The sequence below is a fragment of the Homo sapiens genome, chromosome 1, assembly GCF_000001405.40.
Source record: "Homo sapiens chromosome 1, GRCh38.p14 Primary Assembly".
Lineage (NCBI taxonomy): Eukaryota > Metazoa > Chordata > Mammalia > Primates > Hominidae > Homo > Homo sapiens.
In genome coordinates, this window is record NC_000001.11 from 84,921,537 (window position 1) to 84,943,461 (window position 21,925).

General features: G+C 41.8%; 1 protein-coding gene across 8 annotated transcripts in view; it reads right to left on the reverse strand.

Annotated features, from left to right (window-relative positions):
* Window positions 1-4,046: 4,046 nt before the first annotated feature.
* Window positions 4,047-21,925, reverse strand: part of MCOLN2 (mucolipin TRP cation channel 2) — a 71,531-nt gene continuing 53,652 nt past the window's right edge. For 5 of the 8 annotated variants that reach the window (XM_005270719.4, NM_153259.4, NM_001330647.2 and 2 more), the window contains 7 exons: window positions 19,343-19,455; window positions 18,017-18,166; window positions 16,445-16,546; window positions 16,219-16,341; window positions 9,826-10,032; window positions 8,022-8,143; window positions 4,047-5,185 (listed from right to left, as the gene is read on the reverse strand). In XM_005270719.4, the coding sequence (XP_005270776.1) occupies window positions 5,149-5,185; window positions 8,022-8,143; window positions 9,826-10,032; window positions 16,219-16,341; window positions 16,445-16,546; window positions 18,017-18,166; window positions 19,343-19,455 (854 nt within the window). In that variant the 3' untranslated portion in view covers window positions 4,047-5,148. Of the gene's footprint in view, window positions 5,186-8,021; window positions 8,144-9,825; window positions 10,033-14,829; window positions 16,342-16,444; window positions 16,547-18,016; window positions 18,167-19,342; window positions 19,456-21,925 lie in introns of those variants that run through there. The other 3 variants (XM_047416964.1, XM_047416962.1, XM_047416968.1) reach the window with 3 other exon arrangements.

The window sequence follows — 21,925 nt, forward strand, 5'->3', positions numbered from 1 at the left end:
TTGTTATTATAATTGTTCTATTTTATTATCATTGTTAATACAGTATGTTATTGTAATTGTTCTATTTTTTGTTATTGTTGTTAATCTCTTACTGTGCCTAATTTATAAATTACACTTTATCATAGGTATGTATGTATAGGAAAAAACATAATATATAAAGGTTGAGTATCCCTTATCCAAAATGCTTGGGAACAGAAGTGTTTCAGCTTTTGGATTTTTTCAGCTTTTGGAATATTAACATATACATAATGAGATATCTTGGGGGTGGGATCCCAGTCTAAACATGAAATTCATTTATGTTTCATATATACCTTATATACATAGCTTAAAGGTAATTTCATACAATATTTTAAATAATTTTGTGTATGAAACAAAGTTTTGACTGTGACCCATCACATGAGGTCAGCTGTGAAGCTTTCCACTTGTGGAGTCATGTCAGCAAAAGTTTCAGATTTTGGAGCATTTCAGCTTTTGGATTTTCGAATTAGGGTTGCTCAACCTGTATGGGATTCAGTACTGTTTAGGGTTTCAGGCCTGTACTGGGGGTCCTGAAACATATTCTCTGTGAACAAGGAGGGACTACATGGTTAAAATGTTCAAACTTCAAGTGAAGCAAAGCAAAAATAAAATTTGCCCAAGTTACAAGAAAATAAAAATGGAGCTGATTAGCAGTAAAATGAGGTCTATTCGTCTAATGTTACTGCAATATGTGGCTGTCACAAGTGAATTGTTCAGGTATCTGGAATCGTACCTGTAAGCATCACAGCTCTTGATATTGTCAAGAAACAACTCTGTGGCCAAGACCATGGTGGCAGTTTATTGAATATACGTTTCCAATGACTTTAGAAAGGCCCCTGAACATCAATACAGTGCTGGGCTATATATACATATGTGTGTGTGTGTATATATATATATATATATATATATTTTTTTTTTTTTTTTTTTTTTTTTTTTTTGAGATGGAGTCTTGCTCTGTCACCCAGGCTGGAGTGTAGTGGCACGATCTCGGCTCACTGCAAGCTCCGCCTCCTGGGTTCACACCATTCTCCTGCTTCAGCCTCCCGAGTAGCTGGGACTACAGGTGCCCACCACCACGCCCGGCTAATTTTTTTGTATTTTTAGTAGAGACGGGGTTTCACTGTGTTAGCCAGGATAGTCTCGATCTCCTGACCTTGTGATCCATGCGCCTCGGCCTCCCAAAGTGCTGGGATTACAGGCGTGAGCCACCACACCCGGCCAGTGCTGGGCCATTTTTACATGAAGGTCCACAGGGACAAGAGGGCGACTGGCTACCCCTAGATCAAAAGGCTGGGCTATTGTGCTTTTCATAAACCCATGATTCCAAGCGTGGTCTTCCACTGGATCAGTGTACCCTTTTTACAATTGTTGGAGTGTAGGTCCTCAGCAGGAGTGGGGGACAGTGCCTCGAATCGCACGAAGAGCTTTTCCTAACTACCCTCTCTCACTCTTTTGCATTCACCACTTTGAGTCAGCAATGGGTTGAGAAGGAAGTGGGCCTGAATTTTATACATTCTGACAAGTTTGGTTAAGGGGGTAGTCCTAGTAGAGGACTGAGGGTCTCACCCAGGGTGAAGGACTGAGGCTTTGTGACAGCTTGTGCACCTCCTGGACCTTTTCTCTTCCATCAGGACTGACAGCTGTGCCCCAGCCATTTAGGCTGCTTCTCCTTGCTGCTCCTCTATGGCTAGGTGTGAGCTTCTTAGGGCTGAACTGATCATTGCCTCCAGGACAGGACTGGATGGGGGACTTTTGCACACTTAAAGTTCTAACTAGAACAAAGTCCACCAGAAGTGTGTGGTGAGTGCATTATAAAATAAAAATCTTCCTGGCTGGCCCAGATGAACAGATTTGTACATTTGTAGACCATGTTAGTAAGACATGTTTTTTGAAGAGCTAATAGTCATTGAGCACTTAGGAGTCACGCCCTATTCTATGCACTTTACGTTTGACTCATTCAATCCTCATAATCCCATTTTATGGATGAGGAAATCTATGCATGGCATGACCTGTCCAAGGAGACTCAGGTAGCAGTAGGAAGAGGACAGCTGAGGCAGACAGGTTGCAGAAGCAAAGTCGTGTCTGCATTATTCCATGGTCCCATGGAAACTATTGCAAACATGTTAGAGAATCAAAGGGAAATAACAGCTCAGGAATGAATTCAATACCAGGCTCTGCATAAATTATGTGACTTAAGTGCCAGTCTTGGTTGAGGTTTATCATCACTTAGAGGAAGAAAGTAACTTGTTCAGGGCCTTAAAGTTAGGTTAAGCTGGAATTTTAACTCAAGTCTGTCTAGATGGCTCTTATGCCCACACTCTCTCCTACCAGCTCAAGTGAAAAAGCTTTAAGATGTTGTATATGGTTTTGACTGTGTCACCACAAGCCAAGGAGTTAAATTCAAGGGTTGGAGATCCCAGAATGAAACCAGCAGGCAGAAAGAATGTGTCTCCTAACTTTCACAGGGAACCCTCTAAGTGGAGGCCTATGATAAGAGAGAAAATGATTTATCCCAGATGCATCTATTAGCAGAATTATGAGACAACATTGTTCAATAAAATCCAAATAACAATACAGTTGATAAAGTGACAATTGTTTAACATTATTAAAAAGGGAGAAAACAATGTTTCTATAGATGTGAGCTAACCCTGAAAAACATTTTTCTTTCTAAAACTGTTTTGTCCAGCTGGAGGGAAAATAAATAAAAGAAAACATGAAAGCCAATAGAAGAATAATATGAGCATGAAAACCCATCATTAATCTTCTATTCAAATGGCAGTCACAGCTGCAGAACAAATGAAAGCTTTTTTTTTTTTTTTTTTTTGAGATGGAGTCTCACTTTGTCACCCAGACTAGAGTGCAGTGGCCGGATCTTGGCTCGCTGCAACCTCCGCCTCCCGGATTCAAGCGATTCTCCTGCCTCAGCCTCCTGAGTATCTGGGACTACAGGCGCCTGCCACCACACCCAGCTAATTTTTGTATTTTTAGTAGATACAGGGTTTCACCATGTTAATAGCAATTCTTGGGTTGGGCGTGGTGGCTCACGCCTATAATCCCAACACTTTGGCAGGCCAAGGCGGGCGTACACGAGGTCAGGAGATCAAGACCATCCTGGCCAATATGGTGAAACCCTATCTCTACTAAAAAAATACAAAAAATTAGCCAGGTGTGGCGGTGCATGTCTGTAGTCCCAGCTACTCAGGAGGCTGAGGCAGGGGACTCGCTTGAACCTGGGGGGCAAAGGATGCAGTGAGCCAAGATCATGACACTGCACTCTAGCCTGGCAACAGGGCAAGACTCTGTTTAAAAAAAAAAAAAAAGAGAGAAAGAAAAAAAATAGCAGTTCTTTTCAGAGACAAAACTAAGTATATGACAATATACTCAGAAGTTAACAAGTGGTCCAATTACGTATCTGATTCTTGGGTCAGGCAAATGACCCCAGAACCACCAGTTTAATGGTGTCTTAGTTTAAAAATCAAACATAACTCTTCACATATCTTGTAAAAAAGAAAGTTTAAAATAATTTTAGCAAAGTACTCTGTGTGTAGACATGAGTCATCTACTCTCTTATATACTTTAATGGTATTAACTGCATGATTTTCCCTGCCTATAGTTGGTGCAGGCATATGAAGATGGGGTCAGAGCAAGGAGGGGGAAGGTGACATGAGAAGGAAAATTGGGTAGGGGCTTGTGGGGAGGGCGACTGAGGCCAAGGAGAAAGAGGAAGAGCCCTGGAAGGAGGGTCCTGCTTAATTCAAATTCTCCTCTTCACCAATAACTTTAAATAGTTGGCCACTGAGATAGCTCAGGTATGAAATAAGTCTATGCATGAAGTGATCTTCATCTCTCAAGCTATCATCATAAATATTTATTGAATAACTTCTATATCTTAGCCCCTGTATATCCTTCACTGCTTTTAAGAAATTGGGAAATCCCTTTTGGAGACCAAGTGGTTAAGAGAGATGTGATCTGAATGTTTCATTAGGTAGTTGTTTAGAGACAATGCATAAAATAGTAAGAATGCCATATGGAATGATGAAAATAAATTTATTTAGAGAAAATATATCATATTTCTTTTCTAGACAAAGGTAAATACCCAACCCAGCAGAGTTCAATTGTTAAAATGAGTGACCGCTGCTACAGGTCACTTCCACATGTCATGTGTGTACAACTGACCATTAGCACAAGTGACGAGGCAGCCAAATGATTCCATTTCTTATTTATCCCACTGGCTATGCCAACAGTTGCTTCATATCATGCTGAAGAAAACCCACAGGAAAACAGGCCAAGAAATGTCCACTGCATGAGCATGAGGTCTTTTTGTTGATTTAAGGGTGATTTTTTTTTTTTTTTGAGACAGGATCTCACTCTGTCACCCAGGCTGGAGTGTAGTGGCACGATCATGGCTCATGGCAGCCTCCACCTCCAGAGCTCAGGTGATCCTCCCACTTCAGCTTCCCAAGTAGCTGGGACTACAGATGCCTGCCATCACGCCCGACTAATTTTTGTACTTTTTGTAGAGGTGGGTTTTTGCCATGTTGCCCAGGCTGGTCTCAAGCTCCTGAGCTCAGTCTGCCTGCCTAGGCCTCCCAAAGTGCTGGGATTACAGGTGTGAACCACTGTGCCAGGCCAAGGGTGATCTTTAAACAGCTTAATAGTTCACCAGCTTGGACTCTCTAGATTGGTATTGCAACCAGCTTCATTTCTGTACAGACCATGAATTAACAAATGTCTTCAAACCCAAGAATCACCTTTAAAACAAATCCTTATTTGACAATAAACACACATATTTAATTACATGGTTAAAGACTATTATTTCGCACACTCTGAAATGATCTTTTTCCATTCCGAGATCATGTCATAAATTAACAGACTAATAGAGAATTTTATTATCGCTGTTATATTGCACTAATGCCCAGTAGTAGCCCATGGTCTATTCTTTATCATTCAAGTTTATAAAAAGTAAAGCTGGAACTTCAGTCATGGTCAGCTGGCTAACTGTGAGTCCTCTTTCCCACTCCACAATTAAATAAGAGAGTCATTTTGGAACTGCTTGTCCAAGTCATTTGGGGTTCCTCTGCTCAGCCGCTGGATAAGGATGCCTGAACTTTAATCATCTTTAGCAGAACTTTAGCTAATAGGTATCAAGTGATCATCACTTCTTTTCCTGTAACAGAAAGGGAAAGAAGAAAAGAGGAAAGATACAATACTTTAACATCTTTGAGGAGCAATAGGAATACTCTATATTCTAGGCCCGTAGATTATAGACATGTTGAGTGAAACATAGAAGAGGAAGAAAAATTAAGACAGGCAAGGTATTCTGATTATTTACCAACATTCAGAAAAAATAAGTAAATAAATAAATAAAGGCAATGTACACTGTTTGAGGTTTGAGCAGATGCTTTTGGAAACACTGTGAGGAGTCACCTGTCTCTTAAGAACCTCCATGCCCCCAGGGAGGGGAACATCGCACACGGGGAAATGTTGGGGGGTAGGGGGAAAGGGGAGGGAGAGCATTAGGACAAATACTTAATGCATGCAGAGCTGAACCTAGATGATGCGTTGATAGGTGCAGCAAACCACCATGGCGCATGTGTACCTATGTAACCTGCACGTTCAGCACATGTATCCCAGAATTTAAAGTAAAATTAAAAAAAAAAAAAGAAAAATATATGTTACATTTAGGTTTTACTCAATAAATACATTGGTTTGTTTCTGGAAAAAAAAAAAGAATCTCTGTGTCCCTTCGCTAACAAGGCCTTATAAATTACTAGAACAGCCAATTTTCCTCCTTCACTGCAATAGAGGAAGGTAAAGGTTAACTCTGCATCTGTTCAACCAAGCATCTCTCTCCAAAGAACCACATCGCTTTAGAACTGGAAGAGGTTTCAGAGGTCATCTGGTCCATCTAAGAGGTTTAGGAGAGGTCACAGGACACACTTGGTTAATGGCAGTGTCCAAAATGAAAACCCAGGTGTTCTGATGCTCAGGCTAGAGGCTCTGTCAAAAACTCAAAGGAGAATCAAATGTGTGCTGGTTGTTGGACTGCTTTGTTGAAGAGTGACCACAGCCGTGCTCTGCAGGAAGCAGCACTGGGATAGCAGGTGTCATCTGTCATGGTCACCAGACAGGGGGCACAAAAACCAATCTTTGCAGAGATGAATCTTTATGTTCATCTTTAGCCTCCATTCACAGCCTTCCTCAATTTTAGTCCATTCTTCTGTCCCTAGCTTTTATTTTATTTTTTAAGAGGCGGGGTCTCACTACATTGCCCACGCTGATCTCAAAATCCTGGGCTCAAGCAATCCTTCTGCCCTGGCCTCCCAAAGTGCTGGGATTACAGGCACGAGCCACCATAACCAGCCCCATTCCTAGCTTTTAAACACATCAAGCTATACTTAATTTTAGATGGAGTCAAAGCCATCACTTGTTCTCAAGGCCCCATTACAATCCATTTCCTTCCATCACAGCCTAGGCCCTTCATTCACTCTGCAGGGTCCATGCAAGCCCCCTGGGATCTAGGCTTTGGTCTGATGATTCCACTGAAATTGCTATAGCTGACTTCACTCAGGACCATCGTTTGGCCAAACATAGTTACAGCTACCTGTCTTTGTTTTTTGATATCCTCTTTTTCAAAACTTTCATCATCCTAGTTCTTCAGTTGATCTCCTTGGTGGGCTCTCTTGTTCCCTCAAATTCTTTCACTCTTCATGAGGGGCAGACCCTCCGTCTCACCATGCATCTTCTCAACAACCCTCAGCACACTTTAGGGCAAATGGTCTGCTGCTGTTGCTCCTTGCGTCTCACCACTCAGACCCAATCTTACCCAAACGTCTTGGGGTCCACGCCTTAAATCTTTCACTTGTTCCATAGGGCTGCATGACAAAACATTTAACAACCTCCCAGGACTTTGTGTGGCACAAACCAAGGTCCAAACACCAAAGACCTATCGTTTACTTTTTAGAATTCATGACTACATTTTTCAATGAAGTTTATCCCCCTTATAGTAAAAAAGAGATTTTGAGAGACTTTCCTTATACAAGGTACCTCTTAGGAGGCAGCTGCCTATTAAGAAAATTAATTTCCTTTATCCCAGCTTTCACAGCAACAATTTAATGCTCTGAGAAAAAAAGGTGTGATTCTGAAAACAACTCTTCTCAGATCTCATTTTCTATTTACCAGACATTCTCTGGATCTGCTCAGTCATATCATTGTAAGTCCCAAGATGCTGTATGAATTGATTAACAGAAAAATGCATCCTGTGGTTTTAAATAGCAATTATGTTCTCATAGCTTCCTTCAGGAATTTGGGTTACAGAGTCCTTCCAAAAAGAAAAAACATATGTAGGGTATACTTTTAGTTACAAACTGGCACCCCTGACTTCAGATGAAAGCAAACATAGGCACATTAAAAAAAAAATTGTCTTCACCTGACCCCATTCTAGTCCACAAATCACTATGTAATATGCTTTGTCCACTGAGGTCTAGACCATTTCTCTACATGTCCTGACGAACAACAGGCAAAGCACAGCTAGGCAAGGAAGAGCTACTGGTGTGCACGGATAAGCAAGCACTTGGACAGCCTCTTCGCAAGGAAGTTTCCTGCTCTCATCAAGAAAGATTGCTTGTACCACATACTGTGAAAAGGGAAAACACCTCTGACACTCCCAGAGTTTCACCTCTAAAAATAAGAGCTTTGACCTCTTACTTGGGCCACTTAAGAGTTCAGCCTCTTGACTTTAAGGACATAATTTATGCCTTCTCTTAAGAGTCTTATAGTATTTCTAAGAGATTCCAATCACATCGTGTAGCTTTCTACATAACCCTGTTTTAGAAGAAATAATTCATTTCTAAAGCCAATTTCAGTGGGAGGAAAGAAAAGAAAGGTGAATTATTTCCCATGATAAGCTGGTCTCTGAATGTAATGGTAATCTTGGAGGGGCTCTTTCTTAAGACAACAGAACAGCCCATCTCAGGAGCATGGAGAATAAACATGATACTGACCTCCTCCGACAGCAGATGCAGGACAGGAAGGCTGAGGACTCTTTCTGATACTCTTCTTTGCTACTGCATTCCTTCAGGAATTCCTGCAAATCCGTTTCAGGAAACCCATTCTGTTGGAATTTCTTTAGAAAGTACACAATGTTGTTACCTTATTTATAAGGCATGAGAAATTGCTCTTTTGTCAACAAACCAAGCCCACCTTTGCTAAAATAAAACTCTCCCACATTGCTAGCTCAGATCCAAGAACTGATATTTACAATGATGAATCAATCTGTCAGTCCCAGAACACCAAGGCAGGGCCACTGTGGGAACAGAGAACAATCCAAAGAAAAACTTCAGAAAGAAAGCAGAGAAGAGCCAGGGAGAGGTTTTTTTTAAAAAAAAAAAAGGTAATGAAGGAAATAATCAAAAGTCAAATGTCTAGTCTGGGTATGATGGCTCATGCCTGTAATCCCAGCACTTTGGGAGGCCAAGAAGGGAGGATCGCTTGAGCCCAGGAGTTTGAGACTGGCCTGGGCAAGATGGTGAGACCCCATCTCTACAAAAAATACAAAAATTTTCTGGCCATGGTGGTGTGCACCTGTAGTCCCAGCTACTCTGGAGGCTGAGGCAGGAGGATCGACTGAGCCCTGGAGTTGGAGGCTATAATGAGGTAGGATTATACCACTGTCCTCCAGCCTGGGAAACAGAGCAAGACCCTCTCTCTTTTTTTAAAAAAAAAAAAAGTCTAAACTTTTAATGCTAACAGCAAGACTAGATGAGACCTCCCACTCCACACACACATTGGCAATGTAGACTCTGCTTGGAAAGTAATCATTATTTCCTCTACTTTTATGGAAGTTGGTCGCTTAGTGGAACAGAAGAGAGATTTTTTTCCAAGCAGACACAAAGACTCCCTCCCCTCATGCTTAATGAGATAACCTACTTCAACACTGAGGCTTGGCCCCCACCACGCAGAGACATTGCCACATCAAAGACATGAATCTCTGTGGCAGGAGTGTGCACCTCTTCCTTCTCCATGCAAACCCTGATGCGAGAGGCAACTACCATTCCCACCTGAACACTTACTTATCTTCCCACACACTCAAAAGGTAGCGGACTGGGTTTCTTCTGCATTATTCTGAGAAAGTGGTTAAGCAGAAAACAGCCCTGACAAAGGCACTGGCATGGCACCCCTGGTTTTTCAGTCACTGACCCTGAAGCAGGGTTTTCTAAGCATGACCATCTGCTGTGAATAAGGTACCAGCACCCAAGGAAGTGAAATTCCTTCAAGCCACAAATCAGTTAAATGGCCTAGTCTGAAAGGATACAGAACCCATCAGGTAGCTTAAGAAAGCAGGAAGCTAAACAGTCACAAAAGCCTTAGTTTTCATAATTTAAAGGAAGCCTGCACCATGCCAGTAGCTGTATTATCCAGTGTGAGTTGTAGCAATATCTGAGAGTTGTCAGGGTGCCGGTCACCTCTCATCCCTGAAACTTATGACTCAATCCTAAGTTCCAGGCAGCCACACTGGCAGGTATATCTGTCAGGGCTAAGACCAGCAGCCTGACTACCTGACTTACCCCATTCAACCCATGCTTACCCCATTTCCCTTTTCTTTCCCACCACCCCTCCAAACCAATCCACCCTGCTGTGGGTAACAGGGACAATGCCCTAAAATTCATCTCCAGCGTCTAAAAAGTTTGTCCACAAAACCTCAAAATCTGAACTGTAATATTTTAAGTTTTTAAAATGTGGTATTTTCCTATAATCTATATAGAATTTGCAGTGATTTTTTGGCAGCAAATTTTGATAATTACTTACCTTAATGGTGTCATAAGAATCTGTAATAAGTGCAATAAAAAGACTGAGAATCATATATATAAAAAGGCTGATGAAGGAATATAAATACAGACGACTGAACAGCCACACCAAGATGCTCTTCTGCTGGATTTGGGCAAAGGTTGCAAACATGTCATCACCGTTGACCAGAGAAAACAGACACTCAGCAACTGTGTTCAGATTTTCAAACTGTAGGGGGAAATAAAAACTAGTTTCTGAAATAGAGTATTCTAAAAAGCAGAGGATATCTAGTTAGCTTGTTTTGTTAACATTGTTTTTGTCATTGTAGTAGTGGTAACTTACTTATTTTAAGATGCTAGAACACCATAAGAAGTAGGAAAACATTATTCAAAAACCCCCTCTGGGCCAGGCACAGTGGCTCATCCCTACAATCCCAGCACTTTGGGAGGCCAAGGTTGGAGGATCACTTGAGCCCAGGAGTTTGAGACCAGCCTGGGAAAGATTACAAGACCCCATCTCTACAAAAAGTACAAAAATTATCTGGGCATGGTGATATGCCTGTAGTCCCAGCTATTCAGGAGGCTGGGGTGGGAGAATCTCTTGCATCCAGGAGGTTCAGGGTACAGTGAGCCAAGCTTCTGCCACTGCACTGCAGCCTGGGGGACACAGCGAGACCCTGTCTCTTTAAAACACACACACACACACACACACACCCCTCCATACTCTCAAAGTTAATCTCTTAACAATTCCCACAGTTTTTCCCTATGTACTTTTTATATATCTAAAACCAGGATCTAACAAGTTTAGATCCTGGTTTTTCTCCTAATTAACATAAGCATCTTCTTATGTTTTCTACACTTAGAGAGCATTTGTAGGTTTTGTTTGTTTGTTTGAGACAGAGTCTTACTCTGCCACCCAGGCTGGAGTGCAGTGCAATCCCAGCTCACTGCAACCTCTGCCTCCAGTGTTCAAGCGATTCTCATGTGTCGGCCTCCCAAATAGATGGGATTACAGGTGCCTGCCACCAAGCCCGGCTAATTTTTGTATTTTTTTGTAGAGATGGGGTTTCACCATGTTGGCCAGGCTGGTCTCGAACTCCTGGCCTCAGGTGATCCGCCCACCTCAGCCTCCCAAAGTGCTTGGATTACAGGCATGAGCCACTGTGCTCAGCTGGCATTTGTTATATAACAGACCATTCCTTGAAAATGCCAACAAAACAAAACTTTTCACCACCCTAACCAGAAAAATGAACTTTTTTTTCTAAATTGCCCTATTTCTGTCAGTGATTCCAATCTCCTACCAAAGAAACATTTACTCTGAAATAATTAAGTCCTTAAAACTCTGTGTTGAATTGATTACTCTTCCCCGCTTTCAGTCTTCTAAGGCCTGTCTGTTCCTATCACATGTTTCTCCAATCCACCCTTACTACTCTACTGTGATGTCAACACAAATTTCTGAATTATTAAAGAAACTTCCAAGGAAGTCTCTTTTACTCCAATCTCTTTACCCTCCCCAGTCAAAGCTGCAGTAAAACCTGTACTTTAAGAAGAAGGCTTTCAGGTCATTTCTCCCTTGTGAGATTATACAAAGTTTGGATGCAAAATAAAAATCTAAACCAAGAAGGTTGTGATAAGTTCCTCCTTTATGCAGCCTCATCACATCTCCTCCTTGACAGTATTAATATGCTGTGCTTATCTTCTCCTCCAACACCAGGCCCATCCCTACATTTTTCCCTCATGGAATTTATTCTCCTCACCTGCTCTATTCTTCTTTCTCTTCTCTGTGTCCAATTAAGCCAATGTTCAAGGGTCATTTCAGAGTGTACTTCAAGACCAAGTGCCCTGGTAGTTCTAGTCCTTTCTCTGCACTCCGTATCGGTAAGAATCACAGAATGAACTATGGTCTTCTAATTGTTTTTATACACACTTCCCTGTACTCCAACTAGATACAAACACCGTGCCTTACACTACCAGCCACGTGGCTGGACCAGGCAAGGTAAAGTTGGTGGCCAAGGGAGAAGGTCTACAAACGCACCCCAAACAAGGATCCCACCCATGGCTTTGCTGCATCAGCAAAAACTCTGATGAACTAAAGTCCTCCTCCAAAAAGACCTAGAGGAAATATCCAAATGAACAGATCACTTAACAATATGTAGATTATTTAACAGTAAAACAGGCGATTGCCAGAGTAAATATTTTCCATACGCTACACAAGCCTTAAAACATTGAAGTTAAAGCTGAAAACATTGACATTAAAGTTGGTTTCTATGGATGTCAACTACAACTCTGACAGCACCATTAATAATTCACATTTCTTAGTTTCTTTTGGAATCCAGTCAACTCCTTTCTCTAGTTTCAAGAACCCCTAACTCCAAGCACAACTGTCTGTGCTTCAGGTTTCAACTGCAAATAGCTAGTTTGTCAGTACATGTCACATTCATTTTTTAATTTTCTGTTTAGTTACTTACCAGGCTACACACAATATCTGTCTCAACATTAACATTATTCATAACCATTTTACCTCCCCCTCCTCTTGTGAACATGAGAATTATTTTAACACACCAAAGAGTTAAAACAGAGACCCAGTCAATTTTAGGTGTTTGGTAACACCCTGCCATTTTGTACAAGAAGTGGCTGTGAACCAGAGTCTATTTCAGTGGCCAAATTCCATAGTAGAAGTGAGCTTAAAAATACTCAAGGTCCTAATGTGCTTCCAGTCTAGAAGGACCACATTTGTAAGGCATTCCTTTGGATCTTGAGTGATCATAAGCCCCTGGAAAGCAGGTACTACTCTCTCTCTGCTTCTTGTTTGTTCAAAACAAACTTTTTGGGCACCTACCATGGTCTATGTGCTGTGCTGGACACTGGGAATGTAAAGAGGAACAAACTACAGTTCCTTCCCTCCAAGAACTTGGTCTACAAGAACCTAGCAATGTTGGGTGCACAGTAGATATTTAATACGTATTAAATGGGTATTTCCATAAAGAGTCCCCATAGGTTCTCTGGGCCCACGATGAGAACTCAACCATTCATTTCACAAATGATAAGTTTGCAGTTGGGCCAAAAACCTTTAATTTCAATGAAACCATAACCTGCAATGGCTTATGTCAGAGAACAACATAAATATTTGCTTTAAGAGCTGGTGCCAAGAATCTCATGCAAACTTTAGGCAAAATGTTTTAGCTGAGGGGTACTTGGCTAAAACCAGAGGGCTTGGAAGGAGGAAAATGTAATGCAGAGTCTGCTGAACTTTGACCCATGGCATCAGTGAAGTCCAACAACTTTTCAAGTCTTGGTCTTCTCATTTGTAAAATGGGGACAATGCAAGGCTATGATTTATTCCTCACAGGAAAAAAAGTCCTCTGGAAATGTAAAAGCCGCATTAGAGTAATGTTTAATAATTCAAGATGAGGTCTGGAAGAACATCAACAGTCTCTCACCCTCTGTGCCCAGGCATTTTGAAAGGGCACTGTGCCAAAGTCCATTAGTGCTGGGAATACACATCAGCAGGAAGCCTTTTGCATCTTGACTCCCTTTCCATTGAGCCCCTGAAATCAGATGCCTAACAGGAAGATAGGAAGCTGAAGTGTTATGGGACCCCAGCTATCAGTCAAACGGTTTTCCTAATGTCTCCTTTTTAGTTGTTTTGTTTTAAAGAAAGAATTAGCTTTCACAATCAAGGTTGCTGTGATTCTAAAAATCCCACAAAAATGCCCGCTTGGAATGCCTAGCTTTTCAAGGCTTCAGGTAACCTGAAAGTCCTCTGATTCAGATACTGGCAGAACCTGAACATGCTGACAGCTTGGATTAATTTGGGGGAAAGGATGCAAGGGGCAATAAAATATTCTAACTTCAGATTCAAAGAGGCAGCAATATGGTGAAGAAAAGCACAAAGTTCCAAAACCAGACTGACGTTCTCTCCCCCAACTGACTTGTACATTCAGTGAATTAACTCAGCTGTGTATTTCCCCAATATATCAGCCTGGTGAGAGATGCCATAAACAGACCTGCAGGCAACCCTACAGACATCCCTTATCCCTCCCCTCCTCCAGGGGTATAAAGGAAAGCTAACATTAAGTGAAAGACATAAGTCTAGAGCTGCAATGTCCATAGTGGTAGTCACCAGGAATGTGTGAATAGCCAGCATCCAATAGATAGCTAGTCCAAATTGAGACGTGCTATGTGGATAAAATATCCACCAGATCAAAAAGACTAGTATGGAGGAATGTAAAATATTTCAATATTTTATACTGAATACATGCTGAAATAATATTTTGGGTATATTAGGCTTAAAATATATAATTAAAAATAATTTCATCTGTTTTTTTATTTCTTCATGTAGCTACTAGAAAATTTTACAGTATAGGCAAGGCTCTCAATTGTAGCCCAAACTGTATTTTTCTTGGACAGTGCTGGCTCAGAGCATCCCAGTTTCACCTGGATCCTTTGAAAGGACAAATTGAACATATGGAAATGCAGTCAGGCTCACAAAACAAATAACCTCATTTTCCATGAGGTGACCTTGACACCATTGAAAGAATGAAGCCGATTACATGGCTGTCCTCTCACAGTTGATCTCCAAGTACAAGACTGTTTCTTGTCAGGCTAAATGCTCTCTTGCAATGATCTGTTTTAGATAATACCAAGAAAAGCTCTACAGGGTATGGGTCAAAGCACAGGTACTGGAGTCAGGCCGACCTGGGTTTGAATCCCATCTCTGCCACTTTCTAGCTGGGTAATCTCAGGAATATTATTTAATATATTAAGGTGCCTATTCTCTGTAACAGGACAATCAGATTTCTTCACAGAGAAGGGGAGGGAAGGGTTAACACAGCAAGGGAGATGAAGAATCTTGGGCACCATGCCTAACAGACAGCACTTGAGAATGGTAGCCATCTAGTAAAATTCTAGCAATCTTATCTGAGCACCTTCCAGAATAATGATGAGGTAGGGGAGACGGGGATGGGGTGCAAAGGAGATGGGACCACTTGTCCACAGACCTTGGAGTCAGTGAATTAAAGCCGAATCCTCAGGAACGGTATTTATTCCACACAGTGCAACACTGCCCTCTAGTGACAAAGAGGTGGAAAAGCTTTCAGAGCATGAGGCAAGCAAGGAAGAAAAATACATTTTTCCAGGCTCTAAGACAGTAAGTTCTCCAAATCAGAGAGATCATATCAAAGAATAATTTTTTCTCATGAGTCACCTTTAAAGCAGTGACATGGAGTATGAAGAGCAATATTATCAAGATTTACTACCAACCCAGAGGTTGTCACTTTGTTAATTATATAATATCTCAAATAGGAAAAACAGTAATTCTCTCTAGACATATTAAATGTGACACCTAAAAAGAAGAAAGTCTGAGTGTTCCAGGTTACTCGACATTATTCTGGTAGGACAGCACGGAGGTTTAAGATTCATGTATAACAGTTTGTAAACCAGATTTGATCACAGATTTGGTTAATGCAACTAACAAGGTCAAAACTTAAGGCTGAACTGGTATACAAACTTGGAAGGAATACTTACCATTTTTAACCTCTTTTCTCCTTGCAGAGCACCTAAGTGAGGCTAACAGTACCCTGGGTTGTTGTGGGGAGTAAATAAGAAAGAACACCGAAATGCCCAGCAGAGTGTCTAACACACAAGCAGTAAGTGTTAGCTGCTGCTATTTTTGTTGTTTCTGTTGTTCCAACTGCCACAGGCCCAAATGGAGGAAAAGCCATAAGATAAAATAACTCCTTTTACTTTTTTGGGTTAAAACCAAGGCTTACCTAGTTTCATTTCCTGATGCATCTACCAATCAAATGTATCATTTTATAACAAGAACATCTTAGCACAACTTTGATGTCCCTGAGATTATAATGCTAACTGAAGTTTGGTAATAGTTTAGAATTCAGATACTGATCTTTAATAAGGCAGAAAGATGATGCTGTAATCAAAACCGTCTGCAGAGACAAGACGTGTCACCATTTCTATCGTAAACCTACTATGGTCGTTTTAGGCAGTCTCTGCCCATCTTCATTCTTCTCAATTAACTTGGATGAAAAACATAATACTTTAAATTGGAAATTTTTTATAATAATTTTCCTCACTTAATTTTCATTTTTAATATAGTGATCTCACGTCCAAACATTTCCCATTTGATGATCACCGGGTAACCATGTGACCCCTTAAGCCAGTCCCAGACAACTATAATACATGCTTTCTAGTATTGTACAGTTCTTGTTTCAATATCCTGTAGTCACTTCTATATCCTGAAAAGGAAAAAAAGAAAAAGAAAACTGATACAAAGATATGTGATTACTGATGTCAAGGGTACATGCTAGAGAAGACCAGGAAGCAAGTAAGTGCTAGAAACCCACGTTCAAGGGTCCCACGTGCCCCATCTGCAGAAGGAAGAATGTGAGCTACACACCTTGTCATGGTATGGTCCTAAGACAATCCAGCCACAGAATGTGTAACCCAGATAAATCATACCAGCACAAGCACAAAACCGAAGAACTTTTGGCAGTGAGGCCTGCATTGTTAAAATCAGCACCTGAAAAAAAGAACAGAATGGGTGAAATGAAAAAGTAGCTATTAGAACCCAAAGAATAAATGAGTCTCAACTGCAGTGGCACTACCCGGTGCCGCATCCTTACATTATATGCCTGGAAATAACCCAGGTATCTGATGACTCCAACCCAAACCAAGAGCGTAGAGGTTCCAAGAAAAATGCTGCAGAGATCATAGTTTGTGAGATTCTAAGGAATGAAAAAAAAGAAAGAGAGAAATGAGTAAAATATTTGACTCCACTTAGCTTATTAGCCTTACATTAAACCAATTAATAAAAAAAGAACTATCTGCCTCCCTATAGGTGATAGAGTTTTTTTTTGAAGAAAAAAAAGAAGAAAAACAGATATAATTCCAAATATTTGTGTTTCTCATTTTCTTTTAGTATTTCAATTGGTTGAACTAAATTTTTTTCCAAATAATACTCTGAAATAGAAATTGTATTTAGGTTGAACTAAATTTTTTTCCAAATAATACTCTCAAATAGAAATTGCATTTATCACTGACCTAGGCATTCGAGGATACAAATTAATGGTGTTTGTTAAGTACCAAACAATACAATTCAGCTGCTTTTGAAAGAAAACTCCAGCATGATTTCCTAACACAGCTGCAGCTCTGAGGAAATTCTAGGGCTAGTTGAAAAGACAAACACACAAACATGATTCTCATATAATACGCTAAATGCAGTGAAAGACACAATGCCTAGCTCATCACAGAGGGACACCACAGACACGACCCCAGAGCAAAGACAGGCCTGCAGGACAGGCTGGGAGGAAGCACCACAGGTAAGTGGACAAAAGCTGAACAAAGGCACAATGCTGACAAGACGTCCTAGAGGGGCAGGGTCAGAGCAGGGGCAGGAGCAAGAGGCAGAGCTGGATGATGATGACCCCAGGGGCCATGCTGCTGAGGGAGGCCACTTCATCCCAAAGTAGGCCCCAAGAGGTAGAAAGGATGGTAACAGCTGGATAGACACTTCCAGAAAAGTCCCTCTGACAGCTGTGTGAATGGATCTCAGGGGTATGAAGTAGAAGACGGGAAAGCTGGTGAGGAGGCTGCTGTCACAGTTGGCCAGAAAGGAAGAAGCCTGAAGAAAGCCAGAGGGAGCCGGGATGGGAGAGAATTAGGCATGTCAGGGTTAGGAGGTGTGGCTGGAGGGACCTCTGACCAACAGCAGAGAATGGACGGGAGAATAGTGCGGTGAAGGAGGAGTTGAGGCTTAGTTAGGAGATCAAATCAACTAAGTTATACAAAGGGTCAGGCTTTAGCGGGCAGTCTGACATTCCTGCCCTCACCCCATCCGTCGGAGCACCCAATGGTCACAGATCCTCCCCACAAGCTCTTGACATGCAGGTTCAGGGAAGGGACTGGTTTATGGATAAGCTGCTCCTTTGGCAACTTAAAAAGAAAAATGAGGCCCAAATAACCAATCTTTTCAAGCTTAGTCACTATTCTGGAGCTGTTGCCAAGTTTCGTTCCATGGAACATCGGCTTCCTTTCCCTTCACGAGGAACCAAGCCAGGGGAGGCCTCACTTGTGCTGGTGTGAGAAAAGGGAAGACACGAGAATCAAAGTGGTCTCCAAAGGATGGTACGTCTTAAGATGCCTGTGGCCATCCAGGAGAAGATGAAGAACAGAGACTTTAAATGGGCTTCCCTCACCTTTGCTTTGATTTCCATTTTTAATATGGAGCCAATGATTGTCATTAGGTCGCTGATAATCACCAGGACATACCAGCCGTTGATGAACTCCCACTGGTCGGTGTCACACACAGGCCGCTTGTACTTCTCCAGGAAGAAATTTAGAAATCTCTATGGCAAACATTTAAAGAAGCGTTTCTTACAAACCACACTGCCCTCTGGAAGAAGAAGGCAAGTGCAAAACAGTGCTCTCACCTGTAAAAGGACATGGCATTGCCTTTCCAATTTGCCAGATCCACCTCGAAAGTGGAGGTTACGGCACACACTTTCCCCTATAATCTGAGTAAGCATTCAATTGTCTGTGAAGTTACCTCAAATATGAAATACGTACGCGGTAACTCCAGCAGGTTCTTGTCATAGCTAACACACAGTACATTCCAAATACTTTTCATATTACCAACACATCCATTCCGATAACAACCCAATGAAGCAGGTACGAGCAGGTCTATCACCCAGAGAAGGGAACTGAGGCACCGAGAGGCTAAGCCAGGATCCGTGTCCAGGCAGGCCGGCTCCAGAGTGCGTGCTCCAAATATGAGCCCCCTCACCTTGGCAGGGAAAGGACCTTAACTTTGCATTCAGAATATCAAGGGGATTGGGGAGCATGTAAGAAAGGTGGATATTTACAAAGGACATTGACAAAGGTCAGGATTAGGCAAAATCAAATGCAGACTACGTCCCTGCTCCACAAATGGTACTCTGTGGACTTCCAATTTCCCCTGACCCCAGTGTGCATTTGTACACACGCCACAGCCAGAATAAGATATGTGGGGAGCGGAAGTATATATTCATAAGAGCCCTGAGGGTAAAAAGGCAAAATGAAACTCAGGGGAGAATTTTAAAACTATTTTAAAAACAGAATAAAGTATTTTATGCTTCATTATAATCCATTTACCATGCCTCCCTGTCAAAATGAACTCTGATTTGAAGACAAAAGATGAAACCCACACATGCTATTACTCTGTTCTTCAGATCACTCCTGAATTGAAGAGGGATTTGTTATTCTGGAAACATTCAAAAGCCTGAGAGTTCACCACTGTGCATCTGTACATATCAGCTCAGTTTTAAGCAGGATAATTATCTGATCCCACTTGACATACTCAGAGCCTTTACTCACTTCCTACACCTCAGGCTGATGAATGCCTCATAGCGGGCAACTACTCAAAGGAATCTGATTTAGTCAAAGGTCTCCAAAAAAGGCAGGTGCACAATATCGGTGGTCCACTGCTTGGGCAAACTGAGGGCGCAGGCCAAGAGGGCAGGAAGAGAATGCGAACACACTCTTACCTTCCGTAACCTTAGAGCAAGAACAATGGATCTTGTACACAGAATAAGAGATGCCAAGCAAATCACAATGACAAATGCATCAAACACCAGGACATACTGAGCATTTTTCTGAGCTGAGGAATAAAACAGAATTCAAATGTTAAACACACCTTACCGGAGAATAATTTCCAAACAAAATGGCAGTGTGAAAAGAAGTTCAAACAATAAATGTTTTGTCTATTGTTAAAACAAAATGGTAAATATCAGAAACAAATCACACCGCATTCATTCAGAAGTACATATGTAAGGCAAAACATTCCCTGATATAAAGCTATACATTTAAAAACATGTGAGCTGGGCCAGGCACGGTGGCTCACGCCTGTAATCCCAGCACTTTGGGAGGCTGAGGTGGGCGGATCACGAGGTCAGGAGATCAAGACCATCCTGGCTAACACGGTGAAACCCCGTCTGTACTAAAAATACAAAAAAATTAGCCAGGTGTGGTGGCAGGCGCCTGTAGTCCCAGCTACTTGGGAGGCTGAGGCAGAAGAATGGCATGAAGCCGGGAGGCAGAGTTTGCAGTGAGCCGAGATCGTGCCACTGCGCTCCAGCCTGGGCAACAGAGCGAGATTCTGTCTCAAAACAAAAAACAAAAAACAAAAACAAAAGCAAAAACTATGTGAGCTGCTAATAAATTCACTCAAATTTATATATAAATATTTACTGTAGAATAGAATTCAACAGAAAGTGATCCATTTGGGCTCCATTCAAAAAAAGGCAAAACTGCTGACCTACTCTGAGTTCTTTCACATAAAAGCAGAGACATCAAGTTCACCATTAATAAGAGAACAAACAAATTAAAACACCACCACTCAGAATCCCCACTTCTGCTTCTCAACCTCACTGTGCACTTTCCCAGGACATAGTGCCAATCTTATAAGCCTTCTCTGTATGTAGAGAAAATTACTTCTTGGAACAGAAGCAAGGAGGGGAGTGGTAATCAGATTTTTGGTTTGGAGCACACAGCAGCAAGAAGAATGTATGGGAAGGAGATGAATCTAACCTTAGTTTCTCTCAGACTTCACGGTAGTGTCTCCAATCCCAGCCCAGCTCTCTTCTGCCTGACCCCCACCTTCTTCACCCTACAGCCACACTGATCTTCCTTCTTTCCTGCTCTCACCTCAGGGACTTTGCACATGCTGATCTGTCTGCCTGGAACAGCACTTCTCCCACATGCATGGCTCAGCTTATTTATTTTCAGCCTCAAGTTCCAAATGAAAAATCTCCCATCTCAGAAAAGAATTCCTTAAATTCTCATCTCTATTAGCCCTCTCCTATATACTTTCATGGTTCTTGGTTACTACACACACCCAGAGCTCCTTTACTTTCCTCTGCACAACAGACACTGACCTTTCATTACATCTGCAAAGGCAGCACAGCATGGAGCACAGAGACAGTGTAGAATGGGAAAGAACATGGTCTCTGGAGCCCGACAGCCTGGCTCTGAATCTCAGCTCTGTACTCAGAAGCTGTAGAGCCTTGAGGAAGTTGCTTAACCCCTGTGCCTCAGTTTCCTCCTCTGAAAAGTGGGTAGAATTAAAAAATACCTACATCATAGGGCTATTGTGAAAATTATGCAAGTTCATATACAAAGAGCCCATGAAACAGCCCCAGGAAAATAATAATAGCAAACACTTACAGTGGTTACTATTTTATCATTAAGTGTCCATCTTCCCCATCAAGTGACAGGCTCTCTGAAGCAGGGCCCATAGGTAGTTGCTACGGTTTGAGTTACTTGTCTCCTCCAAAACTCATTTGAAATTTAATCCCCAATGTGACAGTATTGAGAGGGAGGGCCTTTAAAAGGTGATTGGGTCATGAGGTCTCTGCCCTCATAAATGGATTAATCCACTCATAGATTTATGGGTTATCAAGGGAATGGCTCTAGTGGCTTTTTAAGAAGAGGAAGAGAGACTTGAGCTAGTATGCTCACCCCCCTTACCATGTGATGCCCTGCACTGCCTTGGGACTCCACAGAGACTCCCAACCAGCAAGAAGGTCCTCACCAGAAGTGGGGCTCCGACTTTGGACTTCTCAGTTTCCAGAACTGAAAGAATGCATTTCTTTTCTTTATAAATTAGCTAGTTTCAGGCATTCTGTTACAAGTAACAGAAAACGGACTAAGACAGTAGTGTTGAATACAGCACCTGTGCTTAGTATAATGCTTCAGTATACTTTCAAATTAATGAAGAGAATCAAGCAGAACATAAGACCACTGAATAATCTAAGTTAGAACTTATGTTGGTCTGAGCTAAGTTGCGGCAGAGTGAAAGAGGGCACAGAATCGTAAGAGATGGAGAGAGTCATGGCCTGGTCTCTAACTGGACTTGGGGAATAAGGAAGAAGGACAACCAAGAATGATTCCTGGTTCCCTGTCTTGGGCAAACTGAGTTTACTCTGGATATTCATGACAAGAGAAGACTATTCAGTGGCAGTTAAAGCCATGGGAGTGACGGCCCCTCAGAGAGACCACTGGGAAGGACAGCGTCGGGGATGGGGAGCAATGTTTGAGAATTAGAAAAGGAGATGAGCTCAGGAATGGGA